This window comes from Homo sapiens, chromosome 2, assembly GCF_000001405.40.
Source record: "Homo sapiens chromosome 2, GRCh38.p14 Primary Assembly".
Taxonomy (NCBI): domain Eukaryota; kingdom Metazoa; phylum Chordata; class Mammalia; order Primates; family Hominidae; genus Homo; species Homo sapiens.
Window position 1 is genome coordinate 28,955,134 of NC_000002.12, and position 22,844 is coordinate 28,977,977.

The following is a 22,844-nucleotide window of genomic DNA, read 5'->3' on the forward strand; positions in this document are numbered from 1 at the left end:
CCAAAGTGCTGTGTGGTCTCTTAACTGCTGCCTTGGAGTTCGTGCTGTTGTTTGGCTGCCTGACTGTTCCTGAGGTTATGATGTTATCATCCAGCCACTTGCTGATTCTTAGGAGAGCTGGGCATTCTCTGCTCCCTTAGATCCAGCCCTCTCCCCACACCTTTCTCCATCTGCTCCATGCCTTTGGAGGCTGAGTACCACCGATGGCATCAGCTCAACTCCCTTGCTGGAGATTGGAGTGTGGGAGGCCACACGGTCAGAGTCTACATTCCCCTGCTGAACTCTGCAGGGCTATGGTTTGGTGGGGTCCTCCCTGGTCATCTGGTTGTGCCCTTCACTCTGGCTGGAAGTCTAGTGACAATTTCCTCCTGTTGGTCGCTTTCCGCCTGTCCCAGAATGCCTCACTCTTCCTCGTAGGCTCCCTTAACTCCACTCACACCGTTTTAAGTACTGTAGTCCCTTTATAAAAAATCTCTTAGCCCTGCTTAACAGTGTTTGTTTCTTGCTGGGAACCTGAGCCAGTCCGTACTCCCACTTCCTGGGAGGAACATCTGATTGGCTGCATTTTGGTTCAGGTGTTCATCCTAGCCCAATCACCCCTGCCTGGGCTGGGGTCACACTGCCAGGAGCCTTGTGAAGAGGGCAGTTTTCATGCTAGAAGTCTGGTTCATTGGGAACTGAGCTGGACAGATAGCTGTTAACATTTAAAAAACACACATTTTTATTTTTTAATGTTGTAAAATATAAAATCTACCATTTTAACCATTTAAAAAAAGTACGCAGTTCAGTGGCAGTGAGCACATTCACGCTGTGTATCACCACCATCCATCTCCAGAACTTTCTCATCCTCCCACACTGAAACTCTGTATCCATTAAACAGTAAACTCTCCCTCCAGCCCCCGGTAACCACCATTCTTCTTTCCTGCTCTATGACTGACTATTCTAGGAAGCTCATTAAAAAATGCATATTAATTAGACAAGTATTATAGAAATACATTCTTGTAAAAAAGATGGAAACATGACACCTAAGGCTAGACTAACTGCCCGTCACCTGGCTTAGTGATTACGTGCAGAGGCTACCATTGTTACTTTAGAGTTTTGGACTCCAAATCATTTCTGTGAATCTGTGATTTCTGTGAATCTACATACAGATGTGCTCTCAGAAAATAAGTGATTTCTTTTCCCCCACATAAATGGTATACTGTATGCAGCATTCTGCAACTTGAGCTTGCTTTTTTTTTTAAACCCAATATATTTTGGAGGACTTTCCAAATTAATAACATAGGACTACGTTCATTTTAACTGCAGCAGGATCAGAGGGAGGGCTGGTTAAAACACAGGCTGCTTTGCCCTACCCTGGAGTTTCTCATTCAGCCAGATGGGGGCCAAAGAATGCGTCCCACGTGATGCTGCTGCTGCTGCTGTGTTACGGCTGCGCTTCGGAGAACCACTGCTGCCATTCCCTGATCGATAGATGCTTGGGGTGCTTCCTGTTTCTCAGTAAAGTGAAGTTGCGGCGACCTCGTGCCTGCCTTATGTGCACCTGTGCCAGCATCTTTCTCAGGTGGGTAAGGAGAGGTGGAATTCTGGTCACAGGCTACATGTACCTTAAATTTCAATAGATTCCGTCAAATTGCCTCTCAGTATGGCTGTAACAATTTATAGATGAGCTTCCACACAATATTTTACCCAAGTTAAAAATAAATCCTGGCCGGGTATGGTGGCTCATGCCTGTAATCCCAACACTTTGGGAGGCCGAGGCGGGCGGATCACCTGAGGTCAGGAGTTCGAGACTAGCCTAGCCAACATGGCGAACCCCTGTCTCTACTAAAAGTACAAAAATTGGCCGGGAATGGTGGAGGGCATCTGTAATCCCAGGAGAATTGCTTGAATCCGGGAGGCGGAGGTTGCAGTGAGCCGAGATCGCGCCACTACACTCCAGCCTGGGCCACAAGAGGGAGACTTTGTCTCAAAAAACAAAAAACAAAAAACGAAAAACAAATCCTATGGGAATTTTGATTGGGCTTGTGATAAGCCAATAGGTTAATTTACAATTGATTTCTTTTTGTTTGTTTGTTTGAGATGGAGTTTTGCTCTTGTTGCCCAGTATGGAGTGTAGTGGCGTGATTTCGGCTCACTGCAACTTTCTTCTCCCGGATTCAAGCAATTCTCCTGTAGCCGGGATTACAGGCGCCCGCCACCACGCCTGGCTCATTTTTGTATTTTTAGTAGAGACGGGGTTTCGCCATGTTGGCCAGGCTAGTCTCCAACTCCTGACCTCAGGTGATCCGCCTGCCTCGACCTCCCAAAGTGCTGGAATTACAGGCATAAGCCACTGCGCCTGGCCAAGAATTGATTTCATTACGGAATATTATAACATTAAAATGTACCTTTCTCACATGATAGTAATACAATGATGATGATTTTTTAAAATTGGGAAATTGTGGCTCTTCTCCCTCTGGCTGGAGTCATGACGCTGGAAGAAATGATCTCATTGCTCCTTTAGGAGTGTGTATATCTGAACATTCCAGTTTGGGCAACATTGATAAGGTTTGTTCACATGATACTTACCACACTCTTACCTCATGAATGAATGATTTTGTGTGTTTATTTCGAACTTCAGTTTCATAGGATAGGGAAGGAGTAGGGGGTCTACAAGGGTGGGGAGGGTATCTTCAATAGGAGAGGTGTTTTTTTGTTTTTGTTTTTTTGCCACTCTCTCACAGCTGGGTGTTCAGGGCCCTGCATTTGACACAGTGTTGAATGTCCCTAGGAGGGGGACTATGGCATAGGGATGAGTAGGGAGACACAGTTGAGCAACTAATTAGGATGTGAGGTAGAATGAGTCATTAACTTTCACCAGTGAAGCCATTACAGTCATGACAAAAAAGAAATTGATCTATTAAGAGCCAGGGATTTAAATGATTTTAGGATTTGAGGGAGGGCCTTCTAGGAAGCAAGAGTGATGAAAGTGAAAGACAAATAGGTCCGTTCTAGAAATTTGCAACTTGAGCATTTTAGAACTGAGGTCCTTGATTGGTTGGAAATCAGGTGTAAGAGATTATCTAGTGGTAAGCAACCAAAATGAGTTTGAATGAGTGGAGAGCGTATGGCAAATTCTTTTCAGGTGTCTCCAAATGATCCTTTCTCCCTCACTAGACCTTGTTTTTTTTTTTTTTCCTTTTCTTTTGGGACAGGGTCTTGCCCTGTTTTTCAGGCTGGAGTGCAGTGGCATGATCATGGCTCACTGCAGCCTCGGACTCCCAGGCTCAAGTGATCCTCCTGCTTCAGCCTCCCGAGTAGCTGGGACTATGGGCATGCACCACCATGCCTGGCTAGTTTTTAAATTTTTTGTAGAGTTGGGGTCTTGCTAAGTTGCCCAGATTTTGAACTCCTGGGCTTAAGCAATCCTCCCTCCTTGGCCTCCCCAAATGCTGGGATTACAGGCGTGAGCCACTACAGCGGGCTGACATTCCATTTTTGGATTTTGGAGTGCACACGTGTGTATTGGCTTTTTGCTGTTCCTTGGATTTGGTGAATTCAGGGGAAGCACGACCAGGTTGCTACAATTGTATTTTTTCTCATCTTCACCAGGCTTGTCGGGATTGTCCAGGTTACTTTCTCTGGTTAGAAGTATAATACAAACGTCAATATAAAAAGCATCCACTAGGTGCCAGTCTTGCTTTGTGCAAATTTCTTTTTATCCCAGCCTTCTGGGAGAGCAGTTGGTTCTGGCCGCCTCCTGTCTAAACTCCCGTGGAGGGTGGGGATGTGAGCTTTCTGCGCGCCAGCCCTCTGGGATTGGCTGAGAGAATCTCCAAAGTGCTTGCAGCTCTTTTCTGGTGTCCAAGTCCTGAAGCGGAACCTGAATGACTGTAGCCCAGCAGCAGGCGTGATGAGAGGGGCCTGGAGGGAATCCTGATGGGAGGAGATCGAGTCTCCAGGTGGTGGCTGCACCTCCAGTTTCCCTGGCCTGGCTGTACCCTCCCTGGACCTGACCAAACTCCCCACCGGGCTACAGATGCTAACCCGAAAAAGTGCCCAGCTGTCAAGAGAAGCTGCAGCAGCTCTTTAGTCTGACACAGTTGCTGAGCATAGGAAGCTTGAATTGATGTTTCCCCCTCATGTCCTTAAATAGTGAAGTAATAGCCAAAATAAGAAAGAAATTAACCACATCATACACCAACTGCATCAATTTCCCCATAGACTTTGTCCATGAAATCCAGGAGTTTACATATGTCAATGATAGTGGGGAAGAGGGAGAAGAATATGGTTTTTCACTTCTTTTCCCAACTTAGGAAAATTTCAAATATACAGAAAAGTTAAAAGAATAGTATAGGCCGGGTGCGGTGGCTCATGCCTGTAATCCCAGCACTTTGGAAGGCCGAGGGGGGCGGATCACAAGGTCAGGAAATCATGACCATCCTGGCTAACATGCTGAAACCCCATCTCTACTAAAAATACAAAAAATTAGCCGGGCGTAGTGGCGGGCGCCTGTAGTCCCAGCTACTCAGGAGGCTGAGGCAGTGAACCTGGGAGGCGGAGCTTGCAGTGAGCTGAGATCGTGCCACTGCACTCCAGCCTGGGCGACAGAGTGAGACTCTGGCTCAAAAAAAAGAAAAAAAAGAATAGTATGATGATCTGTATATACACGCCACTTAAAGTAAAACACTGTTGATATAGTCATATGACCCTTAACAACGGGGATATGTTCTGAAAGATGTTGTTAGGTGAAATTGTGTCATTGTGAGAATCAAAGAGTGCACTGACATAAACCTGGGCGGCACAGCCCGCTACACATGTGGGCTATCTTATGTAGCCTACATTGTTTCTAGGCTACAAACCTGGACAGCATGTTCCTGGACTGAGTACTGTAGGCAGTTGGAACACAGAGAGATGTGTGTATCTAAACATAGAAAAAGCCAAGTAATACGCTATTGTATTATAATCTTATGGGACCACCGTTGTATATGTGGTCCAACATTGACCAAAATGTCATTATGCAGTCCATGACTATATTTGGCTATATTTTTCTTCATCTGTATTTGTGTGCATATATTTATTTTTGCTGATCTACTAGAAAGTAAACTGAAGGCATCATCACACTTTATTCTTAACTACTTCAGGGTGACGTGCCTACAGATTATGACTCCTGCAATAACTACAATACCATTCTTATATCTCTGAAGCTCCAAACCGTAATCCCCTAATACCATCCTCCTGTCTAATTATTTAATATTATTTAATTTTTAATTTTTTTTGAGGCAGAATCTTGCTCACTCTGTCACCCAGGCTGGAGTGTAGCAGCAGCACGTTAATATTCAGTTTCTTTTCAAATCAGGATCCAATCCACACTCACTCACTGGGTTTGTTTGTCAAGTCTTCTTTAGTTACTTTTGCTCTAAAACGGTCTCTTACCCTCTTGCCCCCTTAGTTTTATCTGTAACAATCACACACCGAGGAGACCAGGCCAGTTGTCTTGCAGAATGAGCCACATGCTGGATTAGATCATTTCCCTAAGTGAGTTTAACTCATTCCTGTACCCTCTGTATTTTCTATCATCTGGAAGTTGTACCTCGGAACTACCCAGTACAACTTTCTGTGATGACAGAAATGTTCTCTGTGCTGTCCAAAATGGAAGTCATTCACCGCAGGTGGCCAGTGAGCACCTAACATGTATCCATGTGGCTGAGTGACAGAATTGTTAATTTTATGTCATTCTCACTAATTTACGTTTAAATAGCCACATGTAGCTAGTGGCTATGGTCTGAAACAGCACAGGTCTTAAGCTTGATTCGATTTGACAAGACATCAAAGGTGATGCTGTATACTTCATACCGGAACACACCAAGAGGCAAGATAATGACAAAGTCTTTCTTTTTCTTTTTTTTGGTTTGAGTATGATGTTTAGTATAAGATAGAGTGGCTTGGCAGAGTTGGTGCAAAACTGAAGAGAACCAGATTCAGTTCTAGTCAGTGAGTTAGCAGCCTAGGGTCAAAAAAATTGACCCTGCTGTCCTGAGTCCTCTGAGGCCCTCTGCACATCACCAGCTAGAAGCTCCGAGACTGATATGCCACTGCTTGGAGGCTTGGGTAGAATCCAAGTGTCCTCAGTTTCCAGAGTGACAAGAGACTGGCCCCAGCCATCAGAGCAGTAGACAAAGGCTTTTGTTTAAAAAAAGCTTTGAGGTATAATTTATTATTTAATTTTTAATTTTTTTGGAGGCAGAATCTTTCTCACTCTGCCACCCAGGCTGGAGTGTAGTAACGCAAACTCGGCTCACAGCAACCTCCGCCTCCTAGATTCAAGCGATTCTCCCACCTCAGCCTCCCAAGTACCTGGGATTATAGGCGCCCGCCACCATGCCCGGCTAATTTTTGTATTTTAGTAGAGATGGGGTTTTACCATGTTGGCCAGGCTGGTCTCGAACTCCTGATCTCAAGTGATCTGCCCGCCTTGGCCTCCCAAAGTGCTGGGATTACAGGCATGAGCCACTGCACCCGGCATGAGGTGTAATTTATAATCAATAACAATATTTTAAGTGTAAAGGTCAATGAGTTTCAACAAATGTCTACACCTGTATAGTCACAACACAATCCAGATACAGAAGATTTCTGTTATCCCAAAGATTCCCTTGTGCAGCTTCCCAATTAATCCCAAATGTCCCTCTTTTCCACAAGTCTGAGGAAACCAGTGATATACTTTCTATCATTATGGAATAAGTGTCTTTGCTTCAGCTTCATATAAATAACATCATACAAAGATACTCTTTGTTTTTTCTCCAACTACAATTACTTTAAGTCTCTGAAACAATATTTCCTTACAACTTAAGTAGTTTTTACAGTAGTGACATTTATCATTGATGGGATTTGCTTGTTTAATATGACTATAGTCAGAAGGGAAGTTGGGCCTATTATTCTTCCAGAAATTAAAAAAAATCATCATTAAGGAAGAGAAAGATTTATATCATCTTTTTGGGACACGTAAGTCTCACAGTTGGAGAATTTGCGGATATTGCTATATACACTATATATACATACATAGTTTTTTTTTTTTTTTGAGACAGAGTCTCGCTCTGTCACCCAGGCTGGAGTGCACTGTCATGATCTCGGCTCACTGTAACCTCCATCTCCCGGGTTCAAGCAATTCTCCTGCCTCAGCCTCCCAAGTAGCTCAGATTACAGGCATGTGCCACCATGCCCAGCTAATTTTTGTATGTTTGGTAGAGACGGAGTTTCAGCATGTTGGCGAGGCTGGTCTCAAACTCCTGACCTCATAATGCACCCACCTTGGGCTCCCAAAGTTCTGGGATTATAGGCGTGAACCACCGTGCCCAGCCTACATATTTACTCGTGATTCTGGTTTTCCAATGACGGATCCTCCATGTTTTTGAGATTGATTGATGTTGCATGTGTCTGTAGTTTGTCCTTATTGCCAAGTGGTATGTGTTGGTATGGATATGCCACAAGTTGTTTATCCCTTCTGCTGGTGGAGATCTGCATTGTTTCCAGTTTAGCATTAAAAGGTAGACTTTCCCTCTATACACTGCTTTAGTTGCACCCCATAAATTTTGATTCCCTCTCCCTCTGCCTCTCTGTCTCCCTTTCCCTTCCCTTCCCTCCCCTCCCCTTCCCTCCCCTCCCCTTCCCTCCCTTTTCCTCCCCTTCCCTCCCCTTCCCTCCTTCCCTCCTTTCCTCCCTCCCATCCTCCCTCCCTTCCTTTTCTCTGTCTCCAGGGTCTCACTCCATTGCCCAGACAGCTCTCTGAAGCCCGGATCTCCTGGGCTCAAGTGATCCTCCCACCTTAGCCTCCTGAGTAGCTGAGACTACAGGTGTAAGCCACCACACCTGGCTAATTTTTAAATTTTGTTTTTTGTAGAGTTGGGGTCTCCCTATGTTGCCCAGGCTAGTCTTGAACTCCTGGGCTCACGTGATCTTCCCACCTCAGCCTCTGAAAATGCTGAGTTACAGGCATGAGCCCCTAGCCTGTGGTGTTTTCATTTTAAGAATTCAGTTCTTAGTATTATTTAATTTTTCCTCCTCTTGTTTTTCTCCTTTGACTCCTGGATTATTTAAAAGTGTGATTTTAAGTTTCCAAATATATGAGGATTTTCCAAAGATCTTTTTGATATTTCTGATTAATTTTGTTCTAAGAGAACATATTTTATAGGATTTAATCCTTTATATTTATTGAGATTTGTTTTATGACTCAGTGTATGATCTATCTTGGCAAATGTTTTTGTTTTTCTTCCGTTTTAGAGATGAGGTCTTGCTCTGTCAACCCAGGCTAGACTGCAGTGGTGCCGTCAGAGTTCACTGCAGCCTCCAACTTCTAGTCTCAAATGATCCTCCTGCCTCAGCTTCCCAAGTAGCTAGGACTACAGGCATATGCCACCACACCTGGCTAACTTTTAATGTTTTTTTGTAGAGATGAGGTCTTGCTTATTTGCCCAGGCTGGTCTTGAACTACTGGCTTCAAGTGATCCTCCTGTCCTCCCGCCTTGGCTTCCCAACATGCTGGGATGACAGCCAAGGCATGCAGTGCACCTAGCTGGTGAAGGTTTCTTATGTACTTGAAAAGAATGTGTACCTGGCCGAATGCGGTGGCTCATGCCTGTAATCCCAGCAGTTTGGGAGGCCGAGGTGAGCGGATCACCTGAGGTCAAGAGTTCAAGACCAGCCTGGCCAACATGGTGAAAACTTGTCTCTACTAAAAATACAAAAATTAGCTGGGCATGGTAGTGTGCGCCTGTAGTCCAAGCTGCTTGGAGGTTGAGAAAGGAGAATTGCTTGAACCCAGGAGGTGGAGGTTGCAGTAAGCCAAGATCGCGCCATTGCACTCCAGCCTGGGTGACAGAGCAAAAACTCCATCTAAAAAGAGAAGAATGTGTATCTGCTATTGTTGGGTGCAATGGTCTGTAAATATCAATGGAATCAAATTGCTTGATAGTGTCATGCAGGTTTTCTACTTTTTGTATCTACTTCTCCCATTAATTACTGAAATAGGCCTATTAAAGTATTCAAATCTCAATATACATTTGTCTGTTTTTCCTTCAATTCTGCCAGTTCTTGCTGCATGTATGTTATGCTTTGTTATGGTATATTCACATTTAAGACTGTTACATCTTCTTGATGAATTGACCCTTTTGACATTATGAAATGTCCATCTTTATACCAGGGAACGCTTCTTGTTCTAATGTCTACTTTGTCTAATGTAGCCACTCTGGTTTTTCAAGTGGCTTCTTATTTGTATGATGTATCTCTTTTTTTTCCTCTTTATCTGTGTTTTTAATTTCAAAGTGTTTTTCTTGTAAATAGCACCTAATTGGGTCTTGTTTTTTTTTTTTTTTAATTTTAATTTTTAGTTCTGGGTTACATCTGGAGGATGTGCAGGTTTGTTACATAGGTAAACGTGTGCCACGGTGGTTTGCTGCCCAGATCAACCCATCACCTAGATATTAAGCCCAGAATGCATTAGCTATTTTTCCTAAAGCTCTCCCTCCCCCCACCCAACCCCCCAGCAGGCCCCTTCCATGTGTTGTTCCCTTCCCTGTGTCCATGTGTTCTCATTGTTCACCTCCCACTTATAAGTGAGAACATGTGGTGGTTGGTTTTCTGTTCCTGCATTGGTTTGCTGAGGATAATGGCTTCTGGCTTCATCCATTTCCCTGCAAAGAACATTATCTCATTCCTTTTTATGGCTGCATAGTATTCCATGGTGTATGTGTACCACCTTTTCTTTATCCAGTCTATCACGGATGGGCATTTGGGTTGATTCCATGTCTTTGCTATTGTGAATAGTGCTGCAATGAACATATGCGTGTATGTATCTTTATAATAGAATGATTTATATTCCTTTGGGTATATACCCAGTAATGGGATTGCTGGGTCCAATGGTATTTCCGGTTCTAGATCTTTGAGGAATCCCCACACCCTCTTCCACAATGGTTGAACTAATTTACATTCCCACCGACAGTGTAAAAGCTTTCCTATTTCTCCACAACCTCACCAGCGTCTGTTGTTTCTTGACTTTTTAATATTTGCTGTTCTGACTGGTGGGGTTTTGTTTTTTTATCCAATTGAACTCTTCCTGTTAATTGGAATGTTTAGAGTATTTTCATGTAGTTTAGTTACCAGTTTGATTGGGATTAAGTGTGCCACTCTGCTATTTCTTTTCTATTCGTCTCATCTGTTTTTATTGCCCTTTTCCCCCTTCTTCTCATGACTTTTGGATTGAATAATTTTAAAATTTCACTGCATCTTCACTATTGGCTTGTTGTTAGCCCTGCTCCTTTGTATTGTTGTTTTAGTGATGGCTCTGGGGTTTATCATGTGCGTCGCCATGTGCATGGCCTTTCCCGTTCCCTAGTGAGGGCCCCAAGTTATCAACAGGGATCCGTCTTTCTGAATAGTTGGGACTCAGATGCCGTGTAAGCCCTGGGAACCCTTTAGCTCACTGCTTCTCAGCAGCTCTTTGCCTGGCTTCCTGGAATTGTACCCTCTTGTGCACATCTTAGTGTGGAGTAAAGACTCAAGAGGACTCCCATGCAGACTTTTGGTGTTTTTTAAGCAAAGGCTTTCTGCCTACCTCCCTCTTCTCTAAGAGCTCTGCCGTATGACTTCCACTGCCTCAACTGTTCTGGATTCCAATATCTGTCTCCTCAGTACCACTAGATTGGGATGCCCCTTCCCTGCTTCATGGTCTAGAATGCCTGATTCCTGGAGGCCTTGCTTCCTCTGTTACCCTTCTCTTAGGAATTGCAGGGCTGCCTGTAGTCCAGTGTCTGAAAATAATTGTTTCACACTTTGTCCAGTTTTCTCATTGTTTCTTCTGAGAGGGTATTTGGTCCATGTTATTCCATCATGTCAGAAACAGAGGGCTCACTTAGCTTATTTTTTTTTTTTTGAGACAGAGTCTCCCTCTGCCTCCCAGGCTGGAGTGCAGTGGCACGATTTTTGGCTCAATGCAACCTTTGCCTCCCAAGTAGCTGGGATTACAGGTGTGCGCCACCACGCCTGGCTAGTTTTTGTATTTTTATTAGAGACAGGGTTTCACCATGTTGGCCAGGCTGGTCTCAAACTCCTGACCTCAGGTGATCCGCCTGCCTTGGTGTCCCAAGGTGCCAGGATTACAGGCGTGAGCTTATTTAATTTTTTTCCTTTTTATTTATTTATTTATTTTTGAGATGGAGTCTCGCTCTGTCACCAGGCTGGAGTTCAGTGGTGTGATCTCAGCTCACTGCAATCTCCACCTCCGGCGTTCAAGCGATTCTCCTGCCTCAGCCTCCTGAGTAGCTGGGACTACAGGCGCACACCACCATGGCCAGCTAATTTTTGTATTTTTAGTAGAGATGGGGTTTCACCATGTTGGCCAGGATGGTCTTGATCTCCTGACTTCATGATCTGCCCACCTCAGCCTCCCAAAGTGCTGGGATTACAGGTGTGAGCCACCGTGCCTGGCCAAATTATTGTAATAATTTAAGAATGTATATAAATAATCCATGTTTACAGTAGAAAATCTTGAAATAACAATTGCAGCAAGAATTACCCACAATTCCCTGCATCCCAATGTAGGCAAAATTAATGTTTTAGCATATATCCTTCCAGACCTTTTTAATGTGTATATGTATCTATAAATATAAAAATAAGACCATATCATCTGCACCACATGATGGTTTATAATGGCTGCCTACTCCCCAAGAGCACAGGAGAAATGGCACCCATTTTTCATGTGTATTATGACAGCTCATGAGTTTCATAGGAAAGCCTACTGCATTTCAGAGATGTTTGTAAGACTCTGGACTTGAGAAATTTCATATGTAAAAGAAAGCCATATAGGTTTTATTTTTTAAAGTCTGCAAGTCTGCAAATGTAAAAAGTTTCAAGAGGAAGAATTTTATTTCATTAGAAAAAAGGAAAGCGGCAGCTTTTACATTACATTTTTAGGCTCCCAAGGTGCTCAACATCAAATGCATTGTACAAGTGAATGGGCATAAATAGATAACATTTCCAAAATAGATGATCAGATTTCAAGAAATTTGCCAAAGTCTAGACTTTATTAATTTGGATCTTGTAAAAATTAAAAAAACCCTGCACTTTGGGAGGCCAAAACAGGAGGATTTCTTGAGCCCAGGAGTTTGAGACCAACCTGGGCAACATAGTGAGACCTTGTCTCTACAAATAATAAAAAAAATAGCCATGCATGGTGGAGTGCACCTGTGGTCCCAGCTACTCAGGAAGATGAGGTGGGAGGATCCCTTGAGCCCAGGCACTTGAGGCTGTAGTGAGCTGTGATCGCACCACTGCACTCCTGCCTGGGTGACAGAGAGAGATCCTGTCTCAAAAAACAAAACAACAAGAACAAAACAAAATCAAACAGGCCACTCTGCTTAAAAAATGTAGAAATTAAAGCTCTGGAACTCTTATCATGAAATGTCCTCCACTGGCCCTAGCTGAGGTGGCCATGGGCTGACCTAGCGTGACTTTTCCTATAAAGAAATTAAGTATTGAAAAAGCACTGATTAGAGGGGTGAGGATCCAGTTTCCAGCGCTTACTCCGTGACCTTTGGCAAACTGCTTACCTTCCACGAGTGTCAATTTCCTCATCTACAAAGCAAAGATAAGAGCAATTCAAAGGGTGAGCATGAAGATGAAATAAGATGGTCTTTTTTTTTTTTTTTTTTTTTTTTTAGATGGAGTCTTGCTCTGTCGCTCTATTGCCCAGGCTGGAGTGCAGTGGCTCAATGTCGGCTCACTGACACTGCAACCTCCCCCTCCTGGGTTCAAGCGATTCTCCTGTCTCAGCCTCCCGGGTAGCTGGGATTAAAGGCATATGCCACCACACCTGGCTAATTTTTGTGTTTTTAGTAGAGACAGGGTTTTGTCATGTTGGCCAGGCTGGTCTTGAACTCCTGACGTCAGGTGATCCGCCCGCCTTGGCCTCCAAAAGTGTTGGGATTATAAGCCTGAGCCACCACGCTGGGCCAATAAGATGGTCTTTAATGTGTCTGGGGACAAGGACCCTCAGGTGTTCAGTAAAAAAATCTCAGCAATGTTACAAAACTAGCTTAAATAGAGTCAATAGAGCGATAGGTATAAAATCACACCTTCCATTTATTCCCATTATCTTTATTTCTTTTCCAGCTAGGTCTTCTCTTTTTAATGGTTAAATTATTATTGTTTTTATAACACAGCAAATTCTACATTTGGCCACCTTGGTTTCTAGATTCATGGGTATGTTCTGCTCTCATATTCTCTCTCTCCCCTCTTCCCTCCTCGCTCCCTCTCTCCCTGCCCTTCTCCACTCCCCGCAGCGGAGGTTGTCCATTTCCTCAGTGTGTCTGTTGGTTGCAATGAGGCCATCTTGGTCCTTTACACCTTTGTCCTTTTCCTCGCACCCATATGCACCCTAGGAAAAGTGTGCATGACTTTGGGAGGCCAAGGTGGGTGGATTGCATGAGTCCAGGAGATCGAGACCAGCCTGGGCAACATGGCAAAACTCCGTCTCTATTGAAAATACAAAAAATACAAAAAATATTAGCTGAGCATGGTGGCATGTGCCTGTAGTCCCAGCTACTTAGGAGGCTGAGGTAGGAGGATCACTGAGCCCAGCAGGTGGAGATTACAGTGATTGGAGATTGCATCACTGCACTCCAGCCAGGGTGACAGAGTGAGACTCTGTCAAAAAAAAAAAAAAAAAAAAAAAAACAAGGAAAAAGAAAAAAGCGCATGCCGAACGTGCTTCTGAGTGAAGTACTCCCCTGTATTACCCTTAAAGGGTCCTTAAAGAGCCATTGCCTCTGCTGTGATCGCTGTCAGTATTTCAGAAGCTGGCTCTCTCTGCATCTAGGATGAATGAGGCCATTGGTGCAGGCAGTCTGAGTGCCAGGAAGATCAGCATGAGAGGAAGACAGGATATTTCTCTTTGGTCTCACCAGAAGAATATGCCATCCATTATTCACAGAGAGAAGGACAAAGGTCCACATGTATTTTAGGATGGAGCACCGTGATAGGCCGTGCAGAGAGGTTTCGGGAGGATTCTAGCTGGGCGTCAGGAGATTTGCAAGGTTTGCAGTGCAGGCCATCTCTGGGGGATTGAAATTTGCCATGGAGGTTTTCAGTTCTGGTTTTAGCCACATTGAAATGTGAGATTATTAGGGTCTGAGAGGTCAAGGGCTTTGCCCAAGGCCACACAGCATTTGTAGCTGCCTGGCAGAATGTGGGGCAGCAGTCGTGAGTGCTACAGTGGAGTCAGAGGCAGGGGGCTTTGGTCCCGGGTGGGCAGCTTTCCCAAATGCAGAAGTTGGAAGCTACACTGGCAGAACAAATGAGGATTCCAGAAGACAGGAGGCCCAATGGGACTTGGGTCACTCACACCAATGGGTCATTAACTTTTGTACCTATGACATCTTGGAGTACAAGAAGAAAAACAAAAACGCCCAAACAAAAAGTTTGGCACCAGACAGACCTCTGTTGGAATCTAGACTCCAGCTTCCTGACTACAAGGCCTCTGACAAGGTCTTTGACCTTGGAATGAGAGAGAAGTTTCAGAAAGCCACCTTGGAATGAGAGATAACTCTTATAAGTAACAATGTAACTGCTCTGACACACAATAGATGCCTAATGAATGTTAATTTTCTTTCTTTTTATCTTCCCTTCCCTAAATTTCGGTTGTCTTCCTTTTTTTTTTTTTTTTTGAGACGGAGTTTCGCTCTTATTGCCCAGGCTGGGGTGCAATGGCACAATCTCAGCTCACCACAACCTCTGCATCCCGGGTTCAAGCAATGCTCCCGCCTGAGCCTCCCAAGTAGCTGAGATTACAGGTGCACACCACCACGCCCGGCTAATTTTTGTATTTTTAGTAGAGATGGGGTTTCACCATGTTGGTCAGGCTGGTCTCGAACTCTTGACCTCGTGATCCGCCCGCCTTGGCCTCCCAAAGTGCTAGGATTACAGGCATGAGCCACCGTGCCCGACATCGGTTGTCTTGTATACAATTCTTACAAAAGTCCTAGGACATAGGCAGGAACAATATTTTTCCCCTATTTTTGAGATGAGAAAATGGGTTTCAGAGAAGTTTAATGATTTGCATGAGGCCCCAGGGACAGAGCTGGGTCTGCATCCCAGAAGTCTTGAGAATAGAGTAGAGCTGCTACAGAATTAGATAAGCTGGGTTTTAATCCTTTTGTGACCACTGCTAGTTGAGTGACCTCTCTGAGCCTCAGTTTCCTCATCTATAAAGTGGGGATAATAAGAGTACCTATCCAAAGGATTGTTTTGAAGATAAATGATCTAATATATAAAGCGCTTAGACTGGCAAATAATAAGTGGTAGCTCTGATTGTTAAATGAGCCATTAGGATCCTGGCCTGCTCTCTGGGGCTTGTCTTTGAACATTTTCTTTGGGTATTCTAGGGAATGTCTTTCAGAGTTCTGGGTGTCCTGCCTATTAATGTGGGGAAATCACTATCCACCTATATCAAGTTGCTTCTCCCTGGCGGTGAGGGCCATGGGGCTGTGTGTGCACCCTGTTAAAAGCCCAGGGTGGACTCCCAGGAGCAACGCACCCACCTGCGCCCACTCTATTGGCTGACCTGAGCTTGCTGTCAAACTCTGTCCCCATGCATGTCTCTGTCTGACTGTGGCTCCGAGGGAGTGCACTCTTTCTATTCATTTGGCTACTGACAGATACCAAAAATTGATTTATATCCATGGTAACTGTCACCCAGGGGAACTGTGAAAAACAAGAAATCTTTTCTTCCATTCACATCAAACAGAGCCAGTGCCCAGAGACCTCTGGGCCTGGCTTTCACTCCGGCTGGCCCTGGCTCATCTCCTTGAGGAGGAAGTGTGTGTCCTCTCCTGCACGCCTCTCCTTCCTGGGGAGCCCTGGCTCACAGCTGGAGCCAGCAGGCCTGGAGGCTGCAGACCCTGGACTGGGACTTGTTGCTTTTGAGAGCTCCCCTGAAGCCTGGCTCCTCAGGTATGGAGTGGGAATCTCTGGAAAGTATTTGTCAATCACATTCCAGAGGGGGGTTGAAACTGCTCACAAACGCTTGTGTTTGGTGGGAGTTTAGTTTCTTTTCTTTTTTTTTTATGAGTCAGGGTCTTGCTCTGTTGCCCAGGCTAGAGTGCAGTGGTATGATCACAGCTCACTGCAGCCTCAACCTCCCAGGCTCAAGCGATCCTCCCACCTCAGCTTTCGGAGTAGCTGGGTCTACAGGTGTGCGCCATCATGCCTGACTAATTTTTAGATTTTTTGTAGAGATGGGGTCTCCCCGTGTTGCCCAGGCTGTTCTCGAACTCCCCAGCTCAAGCAATCCTCCTGCCTCGGCCTCCCAAAGTGCTGGGATTATAGGCGTGGGTCACCACGACCAGCCGGTAATGTATAGTCTCTAGAGAAAGGATTGGTGGGGGTGTGGGAGGGATCCTCAATCAGGTTTTTTGAGGTGGGAAGCCACGTTCTCTTGCTTCTGACTCCTGAGGCTGGTTTTGTTTCTTCTCTGAGATATTTTTTCCTGAGTGGTTTTTCTTCCTTTTTCGTTCTGATGGCTTTTCTGAAGGGCAGTCATGAGGATGTGCCTGTACCAGCTGGGGAGAGAGATCTACACCTTACCTGGCTTGGACAACTTTCTTGAGGTCTGATTTTTCTTGATGGTTCTAAGGAGTAAAATATTATTTGAATCGAATGATAAATTTGTTATTTGACTGTGCTCAAGTTCTGGGCTAGTTGCTTTGGAAACTTTGAAACAGATTATAGCAGAGTTTTGCAATGTCTGTTCTTGAAAACTCTGATCTTAAGAGATATTTTATGAACCAACAGGTCTATATGGTCATATAGATTTGGAAATTGCTTCATACTCTATCCCTTATTGGAACGTCGTAATACACAGTGTATATTAAAGGCCCTGAGACATGGGATAGGTAAGAAATGAGTTCAGTATTATTTATTTATTTATTCACATTTTATTTTTTGAGACAGGGTCTCACTCTGTCGCCCAAGCTGGAGTGCAGTGGTGTGATCTCAGCTCACTGCAACCTCTGCCTCCTGGGCTCAAGCGATTCTCCTGCCTCAGCCTCCTGAGTAACTGGGATTATAGGCACGTGCCAGCACGCGTGGCTAATTTTTTTGATGTTAGTAGAGATGGGGTTTCACCATGTTGCCTAGGGTGGTTTTGCTCTTTCGTCACTGAACTCCTGAGCTCAGGCAATCTGCCCACCTTGGCCTTTCAAAGTGCTGGGATTACAGGTGTGAGCCACTGCCCCGGGTCAGTATTATTTATTTAGACTAGTCAAGTGGAGTAGTGAGAAGAGAGGAAAGAGGAGGACGAGTTTTATGTGTAACTGACTCTGTTATAATGGAGATAACTCATCACCTTCAGACGCAGCCTCAGCATTATTTAAGTCCATGTTTCCCAAACTTCCCTTACCATAGAATATTTTTTTCTTCTTTGTTCTGTATTTCTTTCCACAGTCTTCATTTGTTCCACAAAACACACTTGGAGAATGGCTGGGCTGGAGATTCCCACTGGCTCTGGGGCAAGTCTGGCCAAAGGCATGATTCCAGACCACAGCTGGAATAGAACGTAGGCTCCACCTTGCATGTAGGGGACTGTGTCTTACATGTCCTCCATATTCCAGGGTCCCTGAGCTAGAAAGGTTCTTGGTAGGGCTGGGAGCTGGGATATTGGGGTGGAAAGAGCCTGCTTCCTATGAAACATCCTGGAAAGTTGCTGTCTGGCTTTTTGAACACCTCTAAGAATGGAAAGCCTTTTGTTAGAGCCATTTCTTAAGAAGTCTGTCCTCCTACACTCCTGTTAATTAGTGTCCGAGCCACGTGGCCAAGCCCAATCCCTCGTGGCTGGTTATCCAACCACTGGCAGAATGGAGCCCTCTTGTTTGCCTCCGAGTCCTCTTTTTGTCTTCGCTGTTGCTCATGTGATGTGGTCTAGAGTCCTGCACCTTCACATCCTCTTTCCTCTGTGTGGGCTGTGATTGGCTGACATCCTTCCCACAGGGTGATGAGGAGAAGCAGATTTCAACACAGATTTGGCATTTCCCTGCAGGGCCTGGAGCAGCACCTCCCCCGAGGCTCTATCCAGATGGCTCAAGCCTGTCCTCACCTGCCTGCCTTATTCCTTGGACAGCAACTCTATGGTTCCCTTCCTTTATGATTGCCTTTCTGTTTGAAGAACTTTGCTTAGCCCCTCCCTTCCTTCCCTTCCTTCTTTCCTCCTTCCTTCCCTTCCTTCCTTCTTTCCTCCCTTCCTTCCTTCCTCCTTTCCTTCTTTCCTCCCTTCCTTCCCTTCCCCTTCCTTCCTTCCTTCCTTCCTTCCTCCCTCCCTCCCTCCCTCCTTCGTTCTTCTCCCTCCCTCCTTCCCTCCTTCCTGCCTTCCTGCCTTCTTTCCTTTGTCACAGTCTCGCTTTGTTACCCAAGCTGGAGTGCAGTGGTGTGATCATGGCTCATTGTAGCCTCAAACTCCTAGGCTCAAGCAATCCTCCTACCTCAGCCTCCCAAGTAGCTGCGACCAAAGGCATGCATCACCACATCCAGCTAATTAAAAAAAAATGTTTTTGTAGAGCTCAGAGTCTCATTATGTTGCCCAGGCTGGTCTCAAACTCCTGGCCTCAAGGTATCATCCTGCCTCAGCTTCCCTTAAGTGCTAGGATTACAGGAATGAGCCACTTTGACTGACCTGCCCTTAGCCATTCTTTGCGGGTAGGTCTGACTGTGACAAATTCTCTTAGTTTTCTTTATCTAACGATGTCTTGATTTCGTCTTTATTTTTGAAAAATGTAGAATCCTGGGTTAATAGATTTGTTTTTCTTTCAATATTTGAAAAATCTGCCATTCTCTTGGTTGTCCATGCTTTCTGATGAGAAATCCATTCTCACTTGTATTGTGTTTCTCTGTAGACAATGGGATGTTTATCTCTAGCTGCTTTCAAGACTTTCTCTTTGTCTTTAGTTTTCTGAACTTTGATTATAATATATCCTTTTTTTTTTTTTTTTCTGAGGCGAAGTCTCTCTCTGTCACCCAGGCTGGAGTGCAGTGGCACAATCTCAGCTCACTGCAACCTCTGCCTCCTGGGTTCAAGTGATTCTCCTGCCTCAGCCTCCTGAGTAGCTGGGATTACAGGTGTGCACCACCACGCCCAGCTAATTTTTTTGTTTTCAGTAGAAACAGGGTTTCACCATGTTGGTCAGGCTGGTCTTGAACCCCTGACCTCAAGTGATCCACATGCCTCGGCCTCTTAACGATGTGTCTTGATGTGGATTTCTTTGGATTCATCCTATGTGGGGGTGCTTGGCTTCTTGGATCTGTAGATTAGTATCTTTTACCATATTTGGAGAGTTTCCAGCCATTATTTCTTTGAATTCTTTTTCAGACCCACACCCTTTCTCCTCTCCTTGAACTCCAGTCATACAAATGTTAGATATTTTGTTGTAGTCCCACGGTCCCTGGGGCTCTGTTCATTTCTTTTTTATTTTTATTTTTTGAGACAGGGTCTTGCTGTGTCACCCAGGCTGGGGTGCAGTGGCTTGATCTTGGCTCACTAAAGCCTCTGCCTCCCTGGTTCAAGTGATTCTCCTGCCTCAGCCTCTTGAGTAGCTGGGATTATAGGCATGGACCACTATGCCTGGCTAATTTTTGTATTATTATTATTATTATTTTTTTAATAGAGACAGGGTTTCACTATATTGGCCAGTCTGGTCTTGAACTCCTGACCTCAAGTGATCCTCCCACCTTGGCCTCCCAAATTGTTGGGATTACAGCCATGAGCCACTGTGCCCGGCCTTGTTCATTTCTTTTCAGTCTATATTTTTTCTGTTGGTTGCTATCGAGTAATTTCTATGGTTTTATGTTCAAGTTCACTGATTTTTTTCCTCTATCATAGTCATATTAATGCTGTTATTTATATTGTATTTTTCTTTCTTAAATTTTTTTTTTCCCTTTACTCCTGTGACAGATTATGTATTTTTTAGTTTTAAAACTTCCAGTTGTTTTTCTTTGTGTCTTGTGTTTCTTTGCTGAGACGTTTTATTTTTTTAATTTTTATTGTTATTATTTTTTGAGACAGAGTCTCACTCTGTCACCCAGGCTGGAGTGCAGTGGTGCGATCTTGGCTCACTGCAAGCTCCACCTCCCAGGTTCATGCCATTCTCCTGCCTCAGCCTCCTGAGTAGTTGGGACTACAGGTGCCCGCCACCACGCCCGGCTATGTTTTTGTGTTTTTAGTAGAGACGGGGTTTCACTGTGTTTGCCAGGATGGTCTCGATCTCCTGACCTCGTGATCTGCCCGCCTCGGCCTCCCAAAGTGCTGGGATTACAGGTGTGAGCCAGTGTGCGAGCCACTGCGCCCGGCCGAGACATTTTATTTTTTAATGTGTTTTAAGCACGTTCATAATTGCAAATTGAAGCATTTTTATGATGACTATTTAGAAATCCTTGTTAGAGAATCCTCAAATCTGTGTCATCTGGGCGCTGCATCATTGATTGCCTCTTCTCATTCAAGTTATTTTACCTGTTCTTGGTATAATGAGTGGTTTTCAGTTGTCTCCTAGACATTTTGGGTATTGTGTTGTGAGATTCTAGGTCCTCTTCTGTCTTCTTTTTTTGCAGGGCATTTATCCTGTTTAGGTCTAGCACACAGATCTAGGTGGGATTGGATGTTCGCTTCACCACTGGGCCTTGCTGATACCATCTCAGCAAAAGCAGGATATTGCCTCACACCCCTATGCCTTTCCTCATTGCTGATGATGGGATGGAATTTCAGCTCCCCACTGGGCCCTGCTGGTGGAGGCTTTTTAAAAAAATGACAATATATGTACAGGAATATGTACATATTATAAGTATGTGAAACATATGCTTAATTTTTACAAAGTGGAAGTTTAGGAGCATTTTACACATTTTCCTATTTCTTTGCATGTTCTTATAAAAACATATCAAATTCTGGGCCAGGTGTGGCGGCTCACGCCTGTAATCCCAGCACTTTGGGAGGCCGAGGTGGATGGATCACGAGGTCAGGAGATCGAGACCATCCTGGCTAACATGGTGAAACCCCGTCTCTACTAAAAATACAAAATAATTAGCCGGACGTGGTGGCGGGTGCCTGTAGTCCCAGCTACTCAGGAGGCTGAGGCAGGAGAATGGCGTGAACCTGGAAGGCGGAGCTTGCAGTGAGCTGAGATCACACCACTGCACTCCAGCCTGGGCGACAGAGTGAGACTCCATCTCAAAAACAACAACAACAACAACAACAAAAACCCATCAAATTCTTTTTTGCCATTAGCTTCTGGAGTTATTTACTCACCTATTAACTCCTCCCCTCCCCCTGCCCTCCATCTCTCGAGCTTTCCTGTGGCTGTGGGGCAGGGAGCTGCTCTTCTCTGACACGTCCTTTTGTGGAATGGGGAGAAAGGAGGGAGAGGCACACCCCATGTGAGATGAGGGGTTGGCTTCTGTTGGGAGAAGCCCTGAAGGGCAGCTGGGGCCAGAAGCAGCATAACCAGAAGGCGTTAGTCCCCATCCTGTCATTACCACTGAATTCCTGTGTGACTCCATCATCTGCGATAAGAGGGGCTTGGCCTAGTCCTCTCTCTGATCCTGTGCTTAGGTTGCATACATTATTCTAGAGTTTCCCAGGAACTTCCCAGGGAACACGTCAGCCCAGTGGCAGGTGCTGGTTGGGAGGGGCCTGTTCTGTGTCCTTGGCAGTGTCTGAGCACCCCCACCCAGCCTGTGGTACTGACAGGGCCTTTCAGGCTCTCCAGGCTGGGGCTGGCCTTGGAGGGGGTGGGGCAGTGGTATTTTGGGAGATAAGCCAGCACAGTGTCAGTCTGGAGGCAGTGCCAGCTTGCCTCCATTATCCGCTTTTCTACCTGGGGGGGCGTGGCCTGTGAAGGGATGGGGGGCTTCCAGCCTTTCTCCTCAGCCTGGGCCAGGGCCCAGGACACAGGGCATCAGGGCTCTAAGGGACCAGGAGGTCACCCAGTGTCTGATCACAAATGACAGTTTGGAAGCCCAAGGAGGGCAGGGACTTGTTGGAGGGCACACAGTAATGGTGACAAAGTCAGGACTGGAACCAACTCTCTGTCCACTTGCCTGGAACCCTTGGCCATGCCCTATGCTAACCATCTTTAGCCTGGGGGCACCTTATCCTGAGGGATGGGTACCTGAGACAGAGATGGGGGAGGCGCCTGAGCATACCACCTCCTAGGGTCCCTACCAGGGGCCCTTGCTCCCCATGCTCCCTGGGATCTGACCTCCAGCTAGGCCTGGGATGGTCCTGGTTTATAAGGGGGCAACACCAGCCCAGGGGGTCAGAACTCCCCCTACCTGTTCCCTGCCATACAATGTATGGGGCTGAGACTCTGGTCTGCAGCTTGGATCTCAGGTCTGGTCCTGGAAGAAGCGGTGAATGTTGCAGGGGCGGGGGCTTCTTATGCCGCCAGCCACTTCCTCTCCCCACGTGCAGTCAGGTTGGTGTCGCTCTCTCAACACCCATGTGGAACCTGGCTGGCGCTGGTTCCAGAGATATAAGGCATGAATCCTGCCCCCAAGGAGCTCACAGTCTAGGTCTGTGTGGCTGGCTGGTGGGCCAGGAGAGGGGCGGGCAGTTACAGTCAGCGGATGAGTGGTGCTGTGATAGGGAAGTGCTGGCCCTAGAAAGGCAGATGAGAGGCACCTCTTTTCTAGAGAGTCAGTAAGGACTCCCCTTGGGAGCACGTGGGTGGGAATTGGCCAAGGGAGATAGGTATAAAGTGTTTTTTTTTTGGTTGTTTTTGTTTTGAGATGGAGTCTCATTCTGTCATCCAGGCTGGAGTGCAGTGGCACAATCTCGA

At 45.5% G+C, this 22,844-nt stretch overlaps 1 protein-coding gene across 3 annotated transcripts in view; it reads left to right on the forward strand.

Annotated features, from left to right (window-relative positions):
• Positions 1-1,384: 1,384 nt before the first annotated feature.
• Positions 1,385-22,844, forward strand: part of TOGARAM2 (TOG array regulator of axonemal microtubules 2) — a 95,713-nt gene continuing 74,253 nt past the window's right edge. For 2 of the 3 annotated variants that reach the window (XM_047443568.1, XM_047443570.1), the window contains exon 1: positions 1,385-1,564. The gene's annotated coding sequence lies outside the window, so the exon portion shown is untranslated. The remainder of the gene's footprint in view (positions 1,565-22,844) is intronic. The other variant, XM_047443574.1, reaches the window with a different exon arrangement.